Genomic DNA, 18089 nt, shown 5'->3' with positions numbered 1-18089 from the left:
GTAGTGTTTTTGTTTTTGTTTTTATTTTTGTTTTTCAGCAATGTAATAAATATTTTAACAACTTCATCAGTTTAATTTACATTACGGTAAAACTGACAGATACAATTCACCAAATGAAAGCCCTTTGAGGTCCTCAATAGGTTTTAAGTATGTAAAAGGGTCCCCAAACCAGAAAGTCTGAAAACTGCTGTTGAATGAATTTAGACGGCAGTGGGAGTCAAGGCTATGGGACTCTGGATGAACTCTGTGGAGACTGAGGAGGCGCCGCTCACGTGCTACGTGGCAGGAAAGAGGAATGAAGGGCAGAAAGGGCACCGAGCGTGGGGAGGGGCCGTGTAGCGGGACCACGGGATTGTGGTTGGGAAGTAATGGGAAATTGAAGGCCCAGGCTGCGTGGGGTCAGGTTGTGAAGGTGTGTGAATCTGACATGCAGGATTCACCGGGAGGTGTGGGAGAGTACTGATGCTTCTGCGAAGGGGGCGCGGGCAGCCGGTGGGGGAGGCTTGGGATCGGCGGGGGAGGCAGAGCCTGTCCTGAGGCTATAGCTCTGGCTCAAGCATGGGTAATAAGGATCACGCCTGAGTCAGTGTTGAAGAATTGTGAGACTATGAAAGATTGAATACATGGAACAGACATTTTGCGGGAAAAAAAAAAAAAAAACACAACCGTACATGATAAACGGTGATAAAAGGGGTGAGGGAAAGCAATGGGACCAAGGTAAAGTTGCTGTCATTGCGTAGCAGCAATAATACGACATCTGAACATCTGAAGCTGTCTTTCCAACTGTCAGACTAGAAAAAAAAATCTATTCATTCCCCATTCTTTCACCTTCCTTAATTCTATTTTTTTTTTTTTTTTTTTTTGAGGCGGAGTCTCGTTCTCGCCCAGGCTGGAGTGCAGTGGCACGATCTCGGCTCACTGCAAGCTCCGCCTCCCGGGTTCACACCATTCTACTGCCTCAGCCTCCCGAGTAGCTGGGACTACAGGCGCGTGCCACCATGCCCGGCTAATTTTTTGTATTTTTTAGTAGAGACGGGGTTTCACCATGTTAGCCAGGATGGTCTCGATCTCCTGACCTCGTGATCCACCCGCCTCGGCCTCCCAAAGTGCTGGGATTACAGGCGTGAGCCACCGTGTCTGGCCAACTTCTTTAATTCTAAAGATGAATTGTGTAATGTTCACACTGATTGGCCAAATTTTTGGTTAGGACCAGAGTCCCACTCTTTGGAATAATCAGCAAAAAGTTTTGCTAAACAAAGTGGTATTTACACCAAAATTCAGAAGATATATTCTGGTCTAGAGGCATGAAAGAGCCAGGTCAGTTCACTAAGTGAAGATGGACTTTCTCAGAAAAGAATGCAGACCAAGGGAAAAGAAGAGGGTCCCATTGCTTTCAGAAAAGTGGAGGGCATGGGCTTGGTCTAGGGACATTGCTACCATGGCAGAGTGAACATGGCTGAGGACCACAGGCTGTGTACTACTCCATTATTCTCCCATTCTCCACCAATGGCTGTGCCACAGCCTCTTTGGTGACCAACAGCTTCTTAGTTATATTACCTCTTGAAGAGTGTACGTTACTTGAAACTCTCTTTTTTGGTTCCTCTGTCATCACTTTTTCTTGGTTTTCTTGATACTTCTCAGAACAATATTTTTGACTCCCTACAGGGCTCCTTTTCTCTCTATCCCTTCCTTCTTTTCCTTTCTTTCCTTTTCTTTTCTTTCTTTCTTTTTTGACAGGGTCCCACTCTGTCACTCAGCCTGGAGTGCAGGGGCACGATCATGGCTCACTGCAGCCTCTACCTCCTGGGCTCAATCCATCCTCCCACCTCAGTCTCCTGAGTAGCTAGGACCACAAGGTACATGCCACCATGCCTTGCTAATTTTTTTTTTTTTTTTGGATGGAGTTTTGCTTTTGTTACCCAGGCTGGAGTGCAGTAGTGCAATCTTGGCTTAGTGCAACCTCCACCTTCTGGGTTCAAGCGATTGTCCTGCCTCAGCCTCCCAAGTAGCTGGGATTACAGATGCCTGCCACCACACCCAGCTAATTTTTTGTATTTTTAGTAGAGACGGGGTTTCATCATGTTGGCCAGGCTGGTCTCGGACTCCTGACTTCAGGTGATCTGCCTGCCTCGGCCTCCCAAAGTGCTGGGATTACAGGCATGAGCCACCATGCCTGGCCTTTTTTGCATTTTTTGTCAAAGTCTCACTGTGTTGCCCAGGCTGGTCTTGAACTCCTGTGCTCAAGTGATCCTCCTGTCTCGGCCTCCCAACGTGTTGGGATTACAGGCAAGAGCCACCATGTCCATTGTTTCTCAACCCTTTAATCTTTTTTTTTTTTGGAATTCCATCCTTGGTTTTGTTTCCTACTCACTCTATTCTCTCTTCCTAAGTGATCTTATTCACTGGATGGTTTTAATTACTGGAAAATAAATTCTATGTGGGTTGAGATTTTATCTTCTTCACAGCTATATTTCCAGCACCCAGAAGAGTACCTAGTGTATCGTGGGTGCTCAGTAAAGAGTTTTTAAGAGGTTGAATGAATTGCCATTCATAGGCACAATCTAAATGTAACCCTAATAAAACCTAGTTGCCTTGAGTCCAGCTTAACACAGTGCAAATTAAAAGGAAACATAAATTTGACTACAGAATAAAGTATTTGTGAGTGCAGATGGGTAGAGCCTTTCTGGAAGGCAATCTGGCAATTCTTAGTTAAAATAAGTATGTGTACACTCTATGACTCAGTACTCACTTTCCTACTTATAAATCACAGAAAAAAAAATCTCCTATGGGTCTATAAAAGAACATGAATGAGGATGTTCATTCCAGTGTTATTTGTGGAAAAGAGAGTTGGAAGCAATTTGAACATCCTTCACTGAGGAATGTCAAATGAAATGTGGCAGATGTATAATAGGGACACCATGAAGCAATCGGAAGCAACTGGAATGAATAGCATGTAAACACAGCAGCACACATCAACCTCGAAAACATTGTTTCGTGGGATGAGGTAAGAAACATAATGCTCTCTTTTGCACAATGTCACTTACGTAAATTTAAAACATGCACAGCGGGTCGGGTGTGGGTGTGGTGGCTCACGCCTGTAATCCTAGCACTTTGGGAGGGCAAGGTGGGCGGATTGCTTGAGGTCAAGAGTTTGAGAACAGCTTGGCCAACATGGTGAAACCTCATCTCTACTAAAAATAGAAAAATTAGCTGGGTGTGATGACACATGCCTGTAATGCCAGCTACTCGGGAGGCTGAGGCAGGAGAATCACTTGGACCCAGGAGGCAGAGAGGTTGCAGTGAGCCTAGATTGCACCACTGCACTTCAGCCTGGGCAACAGAGCCAAACTCCATCTCAAGACCAGCCAGGCCAACATGATGAAACCCCATCTCTACTAGAAAAAAAAAAATACAAAAATTACCTAGACGTGGTGGCAGGTGCCTGTAGTCCCAGCTACTCGGGAGGCTGAGGCAGGAGAATTGCTTGAACTTGGGAAGCGGAGGTTGCAGTGAGCCAAGATCGCACCATTGCACTCCAGCCTGAGCAACAAAAGCAAAACTCCTCCTCAAGAAAACAAAAACAAAAAAACACAGAGCTGCAGAAAATATTCTAGCTCATGGTTTGAGTGCTATTTACATAGGTGTATACATACATGTAAATTCAACAAGCTGCATACTTAAGGTTATTTTGCTTTACTGTATCCATGTTATACCTGAATAAAAAATTAAAAAGTGCACATGAAATATTATATATAAGAAAAATTAACGAAATAGAAGGATACACATCAAACACATTAGAAAATGGCTTGTAGTGGGGAGGATGGAGATAAAAGGGAATGAATGAATAAATAAGTTAAAGAATTTCTTTTTAAAAATCAAAAATGGAGTTTTGCATGAACCAACATGAGAATGTGCCCTGGACTGAGAAGTCTGAGGTCTCTTCCATATATTTCATCTATTTGTCTATGAGTCTATCTATGGAATTATCTACACATTTTGTTGATGGTTCCCCAAACCATCCACAGCCCTACTCTCTTGTCTCAAGTCCAATTCTACATCTCCTGTTGCCTGTTAGGCACCCCGAACTGGAAGCTCTTGATTTGTGTCTTAAACACTAAAAACAGAACAAAACAAAACAAAACAAACAAAACCCCAAACCAAAAACACAACGTTAACTTCCTTGAGAGATGGTCTTTGCCAGCATATTGAAATCCTGCTTACTGCAGGAATCTAGGCATCTCTCCATATGCTCTAGGTTGGAGCAAAATTTTAGACCAGCAGCACCGGCATCACCTGAAAGCTTATCAGTAATGCAACATCTTAGGCCCCACCCCAGACTTACTGAATCACAACTCTTTTTTTTTTTTTTTTTTTTTTTTCTGAGACGGAGTCTCGGTCTGTCGCCCAGGCTGGAGTGCAGTGGCGCAATCTCTGCTCACTGCAAGCTCCGCCTCCCAGGTTCACACCATTCTCCTGCCTCAGCCTCCAAAGTAGCTGGGACTACAGGCGCCCGCCACCACGCCGGCTAATTTTTTTTTTTTTTGTATTTTTAGTAGAGACGGGGTTTCACCGTGTTAGCCAGGATGGTCTCGATTTCCTGACCTCGTGATCCTCCTGCCTCGGCCTCCCAAAGTGCTGGGATTACAGGCGTGAGCCACCGCGTCCGGCCCACAACTCTCTTTTTAACAAGATTATAGGTGATTTGTTGTACACGAAACCTTGAGAAGCACTGCCCTGTTTCTTGTTGTACTTTCTTAACTGAATGCAGACTACTGGGTAGAAAGAAGTGGAGACTCCTTCTGGCAATACCTAAGTGGGGTTAAAGACATGCTGTATTCAGGCTTTGTATGCCAGGATCTGTTAGATGAAGAGTGAGCATCCAGAGTTCTAGCCTCTTCTTGGGCGAGTGTCCTTGGAGAGGCCATTCCTCATTATGCATTTCAATAGCACTCTATATTAACAAAGCACTTCTCCATCAATTTATTAGTGATTCTCTCTCAAATTCTCTGCATCATCTTTCCAAGCAATAAATCGTGGTGTATTTTCTTTGTAACCCATAAGTGGTCGATAAGTAAACAAATGGGTTGAAAAGGTAACATAGCAGAAAAGTGTTTCAATTTTCCTTCATCCGTCCTCCATGCATCACTTAGGGAGAAACCAAGTGTTCAGAGACTCCATCTGTATTTAGAATATCATTCTAAACGGAGAGAAGGAGGGAATAACTTTATGTTACATTATAGAAACCATTAGTTTAATAACTTTAGACAGGTTTGAAGAGGTGGTCTGTCAATTCAATGGCATTAGCTAAACTGAAGCCCGACGTCAAAAAAATTAAGCTAATGCTTTCCACTTTCTGACTGTATGTATACCATTACTGAGCTACAGTGTTGGCACAGAGATTAAGTCTATTCTGTGTTAGTTTATAGGCTGCCTCAGTTTGAGTTGGGCATAAAATAAAACAATGAATATGTACTCCTATTTTTCTCCTGTATAAATTGACTCTTGAAACAGCTTTCTCCTTGCCCAGAGTAAGGGCAGTGGGTGGCTATGAAATCCTCTCTATCTGCATGCATTCGTCTCCGGAAATCTCTTTAAGCTCTCTACTTTTCTCTGTCTTGCTTCTCTGCAGTTCTCTGCCAGACACCTTTAGCTTAGTGTTTCAGACCTCCCTTTCTAGTGTCTTCTTTTATCAGAGACATGGGCTTCGCTTCCCTGTTGCTTCATATCCACAGCCTCAATCAAGCCTCATACAAACCAGGCTTCTCATTTCCCTCTCCAGCTCCAGAGTAACAGCCCTGGCAGGCAGCCTGAGGAGCCTGGGGTCCACTCCCTCCTAGCAGGGGTCAGATACCCCCATTCATGCCAGTCATTGCCAACTTCTTAGGATAACCCAAGATAAGAAGCAGAATATGCAGACCTGTGATTTCATGGTCAACCTGTCAATTTCTGAGATGGTGACACTCTCATAGTCAATGTTTGACTCCTACAATAAAAAGATTTCCATCAAGACAAAATAAAGAAGCAGCAAACACTGGCCCAATGAGAAAGCTACCTGTTTATATCATTAAAAAAAATTGGCTTGATTCAGGTGCAAAGACAAGTTGCAGTAGCTAAATAAAACCAACGTGAGTGTAGATGAGGAAAAAACAAAAGGAGAGAGAGTGGATCGGAAAGAGACAATCTTCTGGTGGGCAACATCAAAGAACCCGCTGACCCCATCAGAATTTCACGAGTGCCGTGCCAGCACTCAGTAAGGAAAAGCAATTATTTTAAGAAAATCTATTTGAGGGTAACACCGTCATTATCCTTTTAATGGTACTGCTCTAACAATCCAGTTACAGTAGGCTTTAAAAAATAAGAAGTGCTCCTTTTGCCAATACAATTAAGGCATTTTGGAGAGGCAGATGGTATTAGTTCAGCTTATAGAGGCTTTTCTTGCCATGTCTAGAAAAGAACATTTTTGCAAGTGCAGTATGGTGCAGTAGCCAAGTCCAATATAGGTGTGCACAGCCAATGATTGTAGTGGTCTACCAAGAAAAAAAATAAATAAATAAATAAAACGCCAGTGCAAATGGAGCTTCTTCTAGGCGTCAGACAAATCTGTTTTCCATCAGTGGAGAATGAAGTGGAAAACTGCTGTGCTTTCCAAATAACAAGAGAAGAGATAACTTTTGGAAAACTAACAAGAAGTTTCCCTGCATGTAATAAATCAGTTGCCCCGAAACTGGGTTACTTCTCTTTCTCTGCCTAGGGCAAGTACTTTTGTGTGACATTAGGTGATTCAAAAGGGCTTTAAGTTTAGCTAATTAAAGGAACTTGGAGAGGGAGCTGGAGAAGCAGGAGCAGACAATTGAAAAGGTTAAAGGTTTCGTCCACATCCATTAATCACCTGAAATCCAAAATGAACCCATAGAATACTACTCTTGAAACTCTGTGAGGTCCTGAAGGCATGTGTTTCTTTGGAAGCTTTGCTATACATCTGCTATTAATAGGCCAGAACAATTAGAAATAGTCTCCCTCCAGCAACATGCAAATAACTCCCTTTTTCGATTAACTAGGGCAGAAAGAAGCAAAAGTAGAAAAGTGAGAGAAATTGAAAACTACATTGCCCTAAAATTTTGTACTCACACATCAATCCCAATTTGGTGGTAAAAGTGGAGATCGGTTTTGTTTTATCCAGATAACCCCATTACACACAAAGGAAATCTACTGATAAGGAATGATACCTTTGAAGTGGTAGGGCTGGAATTTTCATACAACTGTGTTGAAAACCAAAACCTTTCTCCTTACTGTAAAATGCTTTGTGAAGGGTGCTGGGGGGGATCTTTATTAACTAACTCTGGATGATGTTGAGCTACTCACTCTTTTTTGGCTTTAGATTCTTCAGCTGTAAGATGTAAAGATGTAGTAAGACATCTCCGTCACATTCAAGCTCTTACTTTCTATATGACCATGCGTGCAGTCAGTACATGACCCATATGTTTATAGAAGTGCATGTCTAACCAGGGAGATCACACATCCACACAATGAAAACTGTCAACATAAAGCAATGCATTTTAGGTGTCAACTTATTAGTACAGGTATTAATTTATGTATAATCCAGGTGCTCCACTCTTAAGGCAAATTCGTCCATGACCCTGCATCCTCCTGTAATATGTACACTGTACCTCTCTCCTTCCTCTCATAGCCAGGTTTCTAGAACCATTAGTCTTCATGTGCTATCTCCATGACCTCATCTGTCATTCAATCCTCAACCCACTGAAATTTGGCTTCCATTTTCCCAGCTCCAGGAAAACTGTTTTCCACCAGGGTCACCATCCACCTCCAAGTTGCCAAATCCTATAGACTCCTTTCAATCCCACCCCTCTCTTGCCTTCTCAGCATTTTGTACTGTTGACAAGTTCCTGTTCTTGAAACTGTTTCCTTCCTTTGTTTCCAAGACCCCATTCTTCCCTGTTCTCCTCCTTCCTCACCAACTGCTTTTTCTCAAGGTTCTTTTATCGGTACCTTTTCCCTACCTGCCCTTTAAATCCAGGCACTGCTTTAAGCTGTTTTTGGCCCTGATCACAAACTCTCCCTCTCTAGACAAAAACTTTTTATGCCCTGTAAATGCTGCTGAATCTCCAATGTGTATCTCTATTTGAGATCTCTCTATCCCATAGTTTATATCTGGATGTCTCATGAGTACCCCAAAATTATATCCAAAATTCATCTTACACCCTCCCCCCTATATGTTTCACTACCTAAAGTCAGTTCCTAACTAAATGTACAGCCTCACATTTTACCTGTTGTTCAAGGTAGAAATTTGGAAGTTACTGTGAATTCCTCTCCCTCCCTCATCCTGCCCCTGCCATGTCTAATCAGTTATTAAGAGCTGTCAATTCTCCTATCTGTTTGTCCCTTTCTCTCTCCCTGTTCCATCCTCGCCCTGGTCCAGGCCCTCATCTTCTCTCTCTGAACCCTTTGCAATGGCCCCCCACCTGTTCCCCGCCTCTAAGCCTTTCTCATGCCTGTCATCTTCCCTACTGGCATTGGGTTCTTTCCCACATCTGAATTTGATCATGTCACTCCCTGCTCAAATTCTTTGTTGCATTGAATTCTGTTGATGCTATGCATGCTGATATGTTCAGAGGTAAGTCTGCAATTTATTTTGAAATCCACCAAGAAAATAAGATGGATTGATGGATGGATCAAGGAGCTGATAAACAGAAAGATGTGTTATAAGCTAGAGTACTCCCTCATCGCTCCTAAGACAGGTACCAGTCAAAGGAACCTCTCTGCCAATATTTTGGCATAAACACATGGAGGATATCATATCACTTCTATTTAGCCTTTTGTTGGAGCTCAAAATAATGACAAAGAATACAAGAGAGTGAATCAGGATATAGAAACTAACATAGCTATACCTTCAATGATAGACGTTTTGAAAAATAACAGATTGAAATGGACTTTCCTGAGGCATTAGTAGTTCACCTACATGCCTGAAAGGAGGTCTCCCCTCTCTATTTTTCTTCATATATGGGATTAAAACAGAAGTAACCTTGAGGCAATTTCCATTTGGGTAGAGAGTAAAGTGATAGATTATTTTGTCAATAGTAAGCTGTTAACATTTCTCTACGAAGGAAAAAAAAATTGTCCAAGGATGGTGGCTCATGCCTGTAATCCTAGCACTTTGGGAGGTCAAGGTGGGTGGATCACTTGAGGTCAGGAGTTCGAGACCAGCCTGGCCAACATGGTGAAAGCCCATCTCTACTAAAAATACAAAAATTAGCTGGGCATGCCTGTAATCCCAGCTACTCGGGAGGCTGAGGCAGGATAATTGCTTGAACTCAGGAGGTGGAGGTTGCAGTGAGCTGAGATCATGCTACTGCACTCCAGCCTGGGTGACAGAGTGAAACTCCATCTCAACAACAAAAAAATATATAAAAAATTAGCTGGTCATGGTGGCAAATGCTTGCAATCCTAGCTACTTGGGAGGCTGAGATGGGACGATTGCGTGAGCCCAGGAGTTCGAGGCTGCAGTGAACTATGATTACACCACTGCACTCCAGCCTGGGTGACAGAGAGAGACCCTCTCTTAAAACAAAGCAAAACAAAACAAAACAAAACAAAACAAAAATAACTAAGTTCAATAGATGTTTAAAAAGAATTCAGAGAAGCTCTACTAAGAAACACTGCCTAGCTTTCAAGCTTTGGAATTAGCTGTGAAACCATTTCATAATAAGGCCTTTTTGTGACCTCAATAGATAAACACCTTTGGATGGTGTCTATGACACTCTTTGGATGGTGTCTATGACACTCTTTTATACAAAATCTTACCCTTTAAAAAATAGTAATACAGTGAGAGCCCAGTGTAAAGTTAAGAACTATTTTTTTTTGCAACTAATGCAATGCTAGAGTTATTATAATATCTAAAAATAAGGAAGGATTTATTCCACATTGTACACTTCGGTTGTAATCTGGAACTATTTTGTCACAAGAAATCGGAACCATGCATATCCTAGTTCCAAGCATAATTTGGCATTATTTTATTATGTGTGGTTCCAATATCTTGGAGTGAAATAAGTCCAGTTTGTTTCCCATGAATCCAATGCCGAATAATCTTTCCAAAGGGGTTTGGCTTCAGGGAGTATGCCAAGGAACATACATGGTTAGGGATATTGCAAGAGGGAGATGGGTCATTATTACTGAGTTGATCATTATGAATACGAAGTGGACTTGCAAATCAGTTTTTCATCACAACTTGACTTTAGGTACCATTTTAACTGTGTGAAAACTTTTTCTTTGGGTGTCCAAAACACATAAAGCAAAACCAAAAATAAGACAACCTTTTCCCCCCCATTTTTGATGTCAGCATGAAATATGTACTGTAGGAACATTTGAGAAAAATACTCTTAAGCAAGTCTTCTTATGAAGATGTAGACAAAGATGTATTTTTACCAAATGTCAAAATTATGTTGTCAAGTTTGATATGCAATGCCACAAAAATGAGTCTATTGCATAGATTTCCATGGTAGCAGTTCTCTGTGGGAAGGAGTATATTTGGTAAGGGAAATGGTTCACAATCAAAGTATTATTGCTTTGGGGGCAAGGAGGATGCTTGCCATTCAGAATAATACAGCAGCAAAACATACTGATAAATTTTTAGTTATGTACCGCATTGTTAATAGCAAGTGTCAACCATATTTTGCATTCTATTATAAACTTCAGCCTTAGACTCATGAAACTGAAAGGAAACCTATGAGCTTGGCAGGACCAAAATAAAACCAAGAATTCATAGATCTTCTGGAGAATTAACTCCACCAATAATGTGTGAGGTTTAGTTATGAGATGAACTACCAACAGTGAAAACTATTCTACTCTGGTTGAAACAGCCTGTCTTTAACATTGGGCATATTTTACCATCTACCTAGATTAGAGGAACCCAAATCCCCACACCAACTTCCAGTCATCACATCGATTGGCTTCCATAACTTTATGCAAAAAGCATGGATTTTGATTTGAACATTGCTGAGAGCTGGGTTTAAGTTCCAGCTCTCCTGTTTACTGTGTGGATGGTGATGGACTAACTACTTGATCTTTGGAAGCTTCAGTTTTTTCATCTTAGAAGGGATGTAAGTTACCTTTTAAATTTTACTGTGATGGTTTCATGAGATATTGCTTGGCAGATTCTCCATAAATAGCTGTTGTTCCTATGACGATAGTAAATTGGCTTTTCCTCTTAGGGTGATGGTGGCAGTTTCCCCCAAATGACTTGGGAGTGAGTATGGATTCTGGGGGCAGGATTTTGCCATGAAGACCAAAGACTTTTGGAATGGTCCACTGACGTCACTGCAGGGCAGCTGCTCTTAGGAGTTGTTCCTGGAGACCCGTTTTGGGTGCCCACTTTCTGTCCTGATTCCTCCCACCAGTAACTCTTGTTAGGCTGCACTACAGAACCAGGAAAGGAAATTGTAGCTATAATTACAAAGGGTGACAAGCTTTTATAGAAACCCCATTTAGAGAGAAGACCAGGGCTACTATTTAAAATATTAAAATAATCCTATATGGGGTGGCGAATAGCAGCTGCATCAAATCCCCTGAGTGAGCCTGCCCTCTCTTTCCTACTCCCTCATTGTGACAGTTTTATGTGTCAACCTAGCTAGGCTATCGTATCCAGTTATTTAGTCAAGACTCATCTAGTTGTTGCTGTAAAGGTGTTTTATAGATGTGGTTAGTATCTCCTACCAGTTGACTTTATGTAAAGGAGATTACCCTTGATAATGCTGGTGGGTTTCATGCAATTGTTGAAGGCATTAAGGGCAAAAAATGAGGTTTCCCAGAGAAGAAGGAATTCTGCCTCAAGACTGCAGCAAATCTTGCAAGAGTTTCTAGCCTGCTGGTCTGCCCTATGGATTTCGGACTAGCTAGTCTGTATACTAGCATGAGCCAGCTCCTTAAAATCTCAATCTCTAGCCAGGCATGGTGGCTCACACCTGTAATCCCAGCACTTTGGGAGGCCGAGGTGGGAGAATCACTTGAGGCCAAGAGTGTAAGACCAGCCTGGCCAACACGGCAAGACCCTGTCTCTACCAAAAGAATGAAAAGAATTAACCAAGTGTGGGAGTGCACACCTGTAGTTTCAGCTATTTGGGAGGCTGAGGTGGGAGAATTGCTTGAGTCCAGGAGATCGAGGCTGCAGTGAGCTATGACTGTGCCACTGCACTCCAGCCTGGGTGACAGAGTGAGACCCTGTCTCCAAAAATAAATAAATAAATAAATCACAATCTCTGTCTCTGTTTCTCTCTGTGTATATGTATATATCCTACTGGCTCTGTTTTATTGGAGAACCTGCCTCTCCACCCACCCCTTCCTGCTCAGGCTGCCCTGCCATTTATCAGAGATCTTCCCATGTTCCAGAAGTGAAACAGTTAAAACCTGGCCCTATAGGAATCCAGCCAGGGGCCTATTCTCCAGATCCATTGGTCAGTATTCCCAGGAAGAAATAGAGAGGGCAGAGCTTCTGGAAACGTGGACTCCCCTTAAGCTTTTCTTGGTGTCTTTCTATCATCTCAGTCTTGGTATTCTTTTCCTTTTTATGTCAAGAAGGTTTCAATTTTTTGCAAAAGAAATTGTGCCGCTGATAAACATTAGTTATGGAAAGGTTTTCTTTCAAACCCAAGGGAAGGAACAAGATAATTTCCCCTGGTTCAGGAAAGTCAGAGTAGAATAAAGCTTCTTGAAATATGAGCTTGATAAAGATAATATTGTCAGTATGAAATAAAAATGAGGACTTGGAGACAGTTTCATTCAAGCTCACTTGATCGTATATAATAAAGCCACGAGAAATCGAGTGGGGGAGGAGGGATTTTTAATACGCTCAAGTGAATCAAGTGGAGCTCTTAGCTTCTGAGTTTAGTTTTCTCTGGCAATTTGAATGTGGGAATTGTCGCTTGAGCAGAGACTGTTTTGTTGATCTCAGGGTCAGAGTGAACAAAGAGCCTCTGCTGGGGCTCCCAGTTGGAAATATTTCTCTGAGTTCAGGTTAATCTTGCTCCCTCTCACTCCACAAACAAAAAACATTTACTCATGTGTATTAGTAGAGTCTGTCCTTAGAACACAGAACATTTACACGGATAAAATCTAGGGGAGCTGGAATACCCTACTTTGCCAGTTTAGGGATGAAAATAAGTTCACATTTTTTGGTAATGTTCAAACCACAGTCACTCTGAGAGCCCCATGATGTCCAAATGGGAAGAAATTCAGTCCGTCTTTAAGGTTTCTTCTATAGTTTCTGGGTATCCCTGATGAGTGCTAACTTGTTCCCCACACTCATCCCGGTAGGATCCTGTCACACCTGACACAGGAAACAGCTCTGTTACTGCCACGCTGTTGATCTCTCTTTCCCTCTATCACAGAATTTTCCAGGTCATACACTCACTTGGGTTTTTTTCACCCCAGCAGTGGGTTCTGTCAGGGCTAACAGCCCCTGAACCCAGCTTCAGTTCCCTGCCCAGCTTTCAGCAGACTTCCACGTTTCCTCTCCCTGCTTCTCTGCATATGCATGGAGAACTCCCCATGCTCCTTCAGTGGGCTCCACGATGGTCCTGCCCTCCAAGCCCACTCACTCTCTGTGGCCCAACATGGCTGACATGGGAACATTGATTTCCTTAAGGAGGAGAAAGTGCCACCTTTATCTACAAGGAGAGTCTGCCCTCGGAGTCAACCAAGATCATATCAGTGATGCTGGCACTTGGATCTACAGGCAACTCACAGTCTGTCTGATGTGGTTTGGCTGTGTCCCCACCCAAATCTCATCTCCAATTGTAGCTCCCACAGTTCCCATGTGTCGTGGGAGGGACCCAGTGGGAGGTAATTGGATCATGGGGGCAGGTCTTTCCCGTGCTGCTGTTCTCGTGATAGAGAGTAAGTCTCACAAAATCTGATGGATTTATAGAGAGGTGTTTCCCTGCACACATCCTCTTCTTGTTCACCGGCATGTAAGAAGTCCCTCTGCTCTTCCTTGGTCTTCTGCCATGATTGTGAGGTCCCCCAGCCATGTGGAAATGGGAGTCATTAAACCTCTTTTTCTTTATAAGTTACCCTCTAACAATGTGAAAATGGACTAATACACTGACCATCCCTAGAGCCTAAAGGAAGAAACTGCCTGATTCATCTTTGTCCCCCCTGCAGGCTTAGACAGTGCCTGTCACACAACACATTTGCCTCTCTCCTCCTCACTTCTGCTGCAGGGCCCACGCAGCTCAGGGTCTCCTCAGCCCTTGCTGGTCCTCTTACCATGGCCCCCAAATCTACCCCCAAAGGAGTCATCCTCTGAGATAAGGCCTCATGACCTCCTGCTGATCCTTCTTAATGGCTCCCATATCTTAGAGTGAAGACACAGCCTCTTGTGTGGCCCCTGTGGTCTTCTCATCCGATTCCTGTCATTCTTTTCAGCTTTACCCTCAGAATGACAACCCTAAACTGCTTGTCTTCCCCAGTACACATCATGTCTTTGGTCATGCAGCCTGAAACACCTACCATGATGCTAACTTTTATTAAGAGATAGGGGAGTTTACCCTATCTCTTGTCCCCTTGGTGTGTGATTTTCCTACCTATGAAAGAAATGGAAGACACTTTCCCTACCCTGGAGGCTCAAAATGTGTACATTTTTATGCAGGTGGAAAGACAATTGAATAAAGAGGAAGAAGGCATGCTGGCTAGTGGGTATGTTCTTTAGGGGAAGAAAGGGTTGACCAGTATGCTGCTTGGAATGCAGCCCCCCGCCTTGAGTCTGTAGTTTATTACTTTGAATCCTGACGTCTGGTCAGAATAATTCATTTCCTCCTCTCTCAATTGTGAGTATTACCTGAACACTGCAAGTTCTTTTCTTTAGAGAGGAAAAGGAGGAGCTGTTGGTTGATTCTTCTTCCATTATTTCGGGTTTCTTCACCAGGTGGGTTTGATGAGAAATCAACTGGTAGGCAGTTAGTTATAATTTTAGACATCTTGGCATTAGGAACAAAGCATTTGGGAGCTAGATGAGACCGTGGCTATTTGCATGGTTTCTGGTTCCTGATGGTCTTATGAGTCTCTATTTTCTAGCAGCGGGAAATTTTGTTACCTTAAGAGATAAGTGCTTTGTCTCCTTATTTCAATTTCTTTTCTGTCCTAATTTCCCAGCCCAGTGCTAGCAGTCTCACGGTTCCAGTTCAGTGGAGAATATTGCTGGATGGCTTGTCCATTACCACACTCTCTTTCCTTCTTATTTTATTTTATATTATTTTATTTTTTTGAGATAGAGTTTCACTCTTGTTGCCCAGGATGGAGTGCAATGGCGTGATCTCGGGTCACTGCAGCCTCCGCCTCCCAGGTTCAAGTGATTCTCCTGCCTCAGCCTTCCCAGTAGCTGGGATTACAGGTACCCGCCACTACACCCAGCTAATTTTTGTATTTTTACTAGAGACAGGGTTTCACCATGTTGGCCAGGCTGGTCTTGAACTCCTGACCTCAGGTGATCCTCCTGCCTCAGCCTCCCAAAGTGCTGGGATTACAGGCGTGAGCCAATGCACCCAGCCTCTTTCCTTCTTAGCTTAAAGTTTTGGGACATGTGCATTTTTTTTTCCTCCTGAATTATCCCCCTCCCCTCCATATTTTTGTTTTGTTTTGTTTTGTTTTATCTTCGTCTCTGGTTAGTTACCAGAATTAGAAATTTGCTCTGTCTTTTCATTCCTTTACCTATGGATAACTTTATGGAGCTTTCATTATGCTATGTGGTGGGTATAAAGAAAAAATAAGACAAAGTTCTGACTCTTGAATCAAACAGTAGTAAAAAAAAAAATTCAAGCAAATGAGATAGGAATATGAATGAAATTCACAAAGTGGGGAGCAACTCTTTATACCTGGGGCATAAGAGAGAGAAAATGGGTCTCTCTCTTATTTAGGAAAGCCTTCCCAGAGGAGGCAACTCCTAGCCTAAGTTTTCTGAATCAGGATCATCCTGACGGAGACACCCCCACCCACATCCCAAGTAAGATTCTAGAAGCATCTGTGCCTATCTAGAAGCATCCATGCCAAGCAGTTATTGGCACTGCCTGGGTGAGTTATTCACACTGTTTCTGACTCTGAAGGTGGCAATATTAAGAAGGAGAAGATCAAACACAGCTGTCATTGAGGTCTTTGTCACACTGGGGTCTCAAGCAAGGAGAGCAAATGGTTCAGCTTCAAGCATGTAGGTCTTCGGGGCCTCATGGCCTGGCCTCTCCCCAGGACTGCTGTGGCCTCTTCTGGATTGGCTCCAGCCCATGCATATGGATGGGTCCCCTCTCCTGTCCTTGGCTCTTGGAATCCACAGATCTTTGTGCTTCTCTGATGCGGAGACCCAATGCCTGTCCATTTGGCTTAAGGGTTGGTCAGGAAACACTTCTGTGGAGCCATTCCATTCCTGCCCCTTTGGCATGTGATTTTCCTACCTAGGAAGACCTATAAAATGCAACCAATGCCTCGTTAATTTTAAATGAATCTCCCCATGTACCCACTCATCTCTGACGGCCACAATTAACTTCTACACGACACTCCTTTCCTTTTGTATGTGGCTGGCTGATTCCTTGCCCATTTGCTCTCTCTTAACTTGCACCCCGGAGTGTTGCAGGCAGTTCAGTAAAACTCCAGGAGGGACTCTCGAGTTTACAGCCCCTCCTTTTTCTGCAGCTCCTTGGACCCCCTCCCCCCATTCTGTGTCTACAACTTCCAGACCGTCTAATAATGCTTTAAACATGTTGAGTAATCAGACTTCCCGAGGCAGTCACTTTGACCTTGCAATTTCCTCCCCTACCTTCTTCCTTTGACTTTCAGACTGGCGTTTTCTGCTCCGTGATATGTGTGGGTTGTGGACAAGGGAATGGGCTTCATCAGCTATACATTTCCCACAGCAAGAAGGAGGAAATTCAAGAATTGGTGTTTTCTTCATGGCTTCAAACCACTGTTTTGCTTGCAACTGGGGCCATGGGATTCCTTTGTCCTGCACAAGTCGCGGGTCTAGCTTCCTTTATATTTATGAAGTGGGGAAAGTCTGAAAATGCCACGAATGGCTGAATACTCCCTGTGACCTAGAGGGTGTGTTTTTTTCAGATCGACTCTGTCTTGTATTCATTTGCACTTTGCTCTTTGAAGGATTCAGGCCTTCTTCTGTGTCCATTCAACCCATGCCTGTGGACTCCTAAGGGAAGATCCCATTGCCCCAATTTATTTTCTGCACCTCCCACAACCTCCCTGGCTTAGCCTGCAGTACAGGCTTTGGGGAAAGAGAAATCACTGCTGACAACTCACAGGTGTGATTTACATCTTGGATTACGAGAGGATCCACCTAGGACCCGATGAGGCGGGAGAAGGCCGTGGTGGACTTATTTCCCCAGATGGGAAGAGACGTAGCGATTGTGGAAATGCAATAAGGTGTCTAGAGAGGAGCGGCCATTTGAGTGCAGAAAGCCCAGCCTCTTGTCGTGGAACCTAAGCGGTGTCCCAGTGCCCTGAGAGGCTTAGCAGTTGCTGCAATGATGATGAAACCTTGCTCCTTCACTCCCTGTGTTCTGGAAAGGAGCAGTGAATGATAGACTTTTTCCCCAGCACCTGGTGGCAGGAAATGAGTTTCATATCTATTCTTATAAGAACATAGTCTATGGTGCATTGCAAGCTCAGATTATCTTTTCAAACTAGCTGAGGAGGTCTGTGCGTCTGTCTGCCTGAGTTCCTTCTGTCCTGCTCTTTCTCCCTTCTTCCTGCTCTTTCTTGCTTTTCCTTTCTCTTCTTTCCTTCCTCTTTGTCTTTATTCCAAACCCGCCTCTGTTTTTCCCCATACTTGGGTTCTTTTCCACTCTCTCTGTCCCAGCCGCTTGATGCTGTCTAGGAATAGGCACGGGAGGACATTCTGGAGTCAATGGCGGCAAAGTGAATGATGGGCTCCCTGAAATTCTCTTTGCTGGCTTTTCAAACACTTTTCTGGCTCTCGTTCTGCATTGCTTTTGGTGGATCAAAGCAATGGTGATCAGGGTTGAAGGATTTAGCAAATAAAAATGTGGGATGCCCAGTTATGCTTGAATTTCAGATGAACA

At 43.3% G+C, this 18089-nt stretch overlaps 2 annotated features.

Moving 5' to 3' along the window:
* Positions 253–547: a silencer, noted in NCBI's record as "tiled region #9180; K562 Repressive non-DNase unmatched - State 7:EnhWF". NCBI's record gives its function as "represses a minimal TATA promoter and a strong SV40 promoter by Sharpr-MPRA in K562 cells {active_cell/tissue: K562}" and the evidence as "EXISTENCE:reporter gene assay evidence [ECO:0000049][PMID:27701403]".
* Positions 12720–13236: an enhancer, noted in NCBI's record as "NANOG hESC enhancer chr6:14832080-14832596 (GRCh37/hg19 assembly coordinates)". NCBI's record gives its function as "activates a minimal SCP1, AML or CMV promoter by ChIP-STARR-seq in naive and primed H9 embryonic stem cells {active_cell/tissue: H9 hESC(naive and primed)}" and the evidence as "EXISTENCE:reporter gene assay evidence [ECO:0000049][PMID:30033119]".

Source organism: Homo sapiens, chromosome 6, assembly GCF_000001405.40.
Source record: "Homo sapiens chromosome 6, GRCh38.p14 Primary Assembly".
Taxonomy (NCBI): Eukaryota; Metazoa; Chordata; class Mammalia; order Primates; family Hominidae; genus Homo; species Homo sapiens.
The sequence above is the reverse complement of the archived record's forward strand: the minus strand, read 5'-3'. Positions and strand labels throughout refer to the sequence as shown.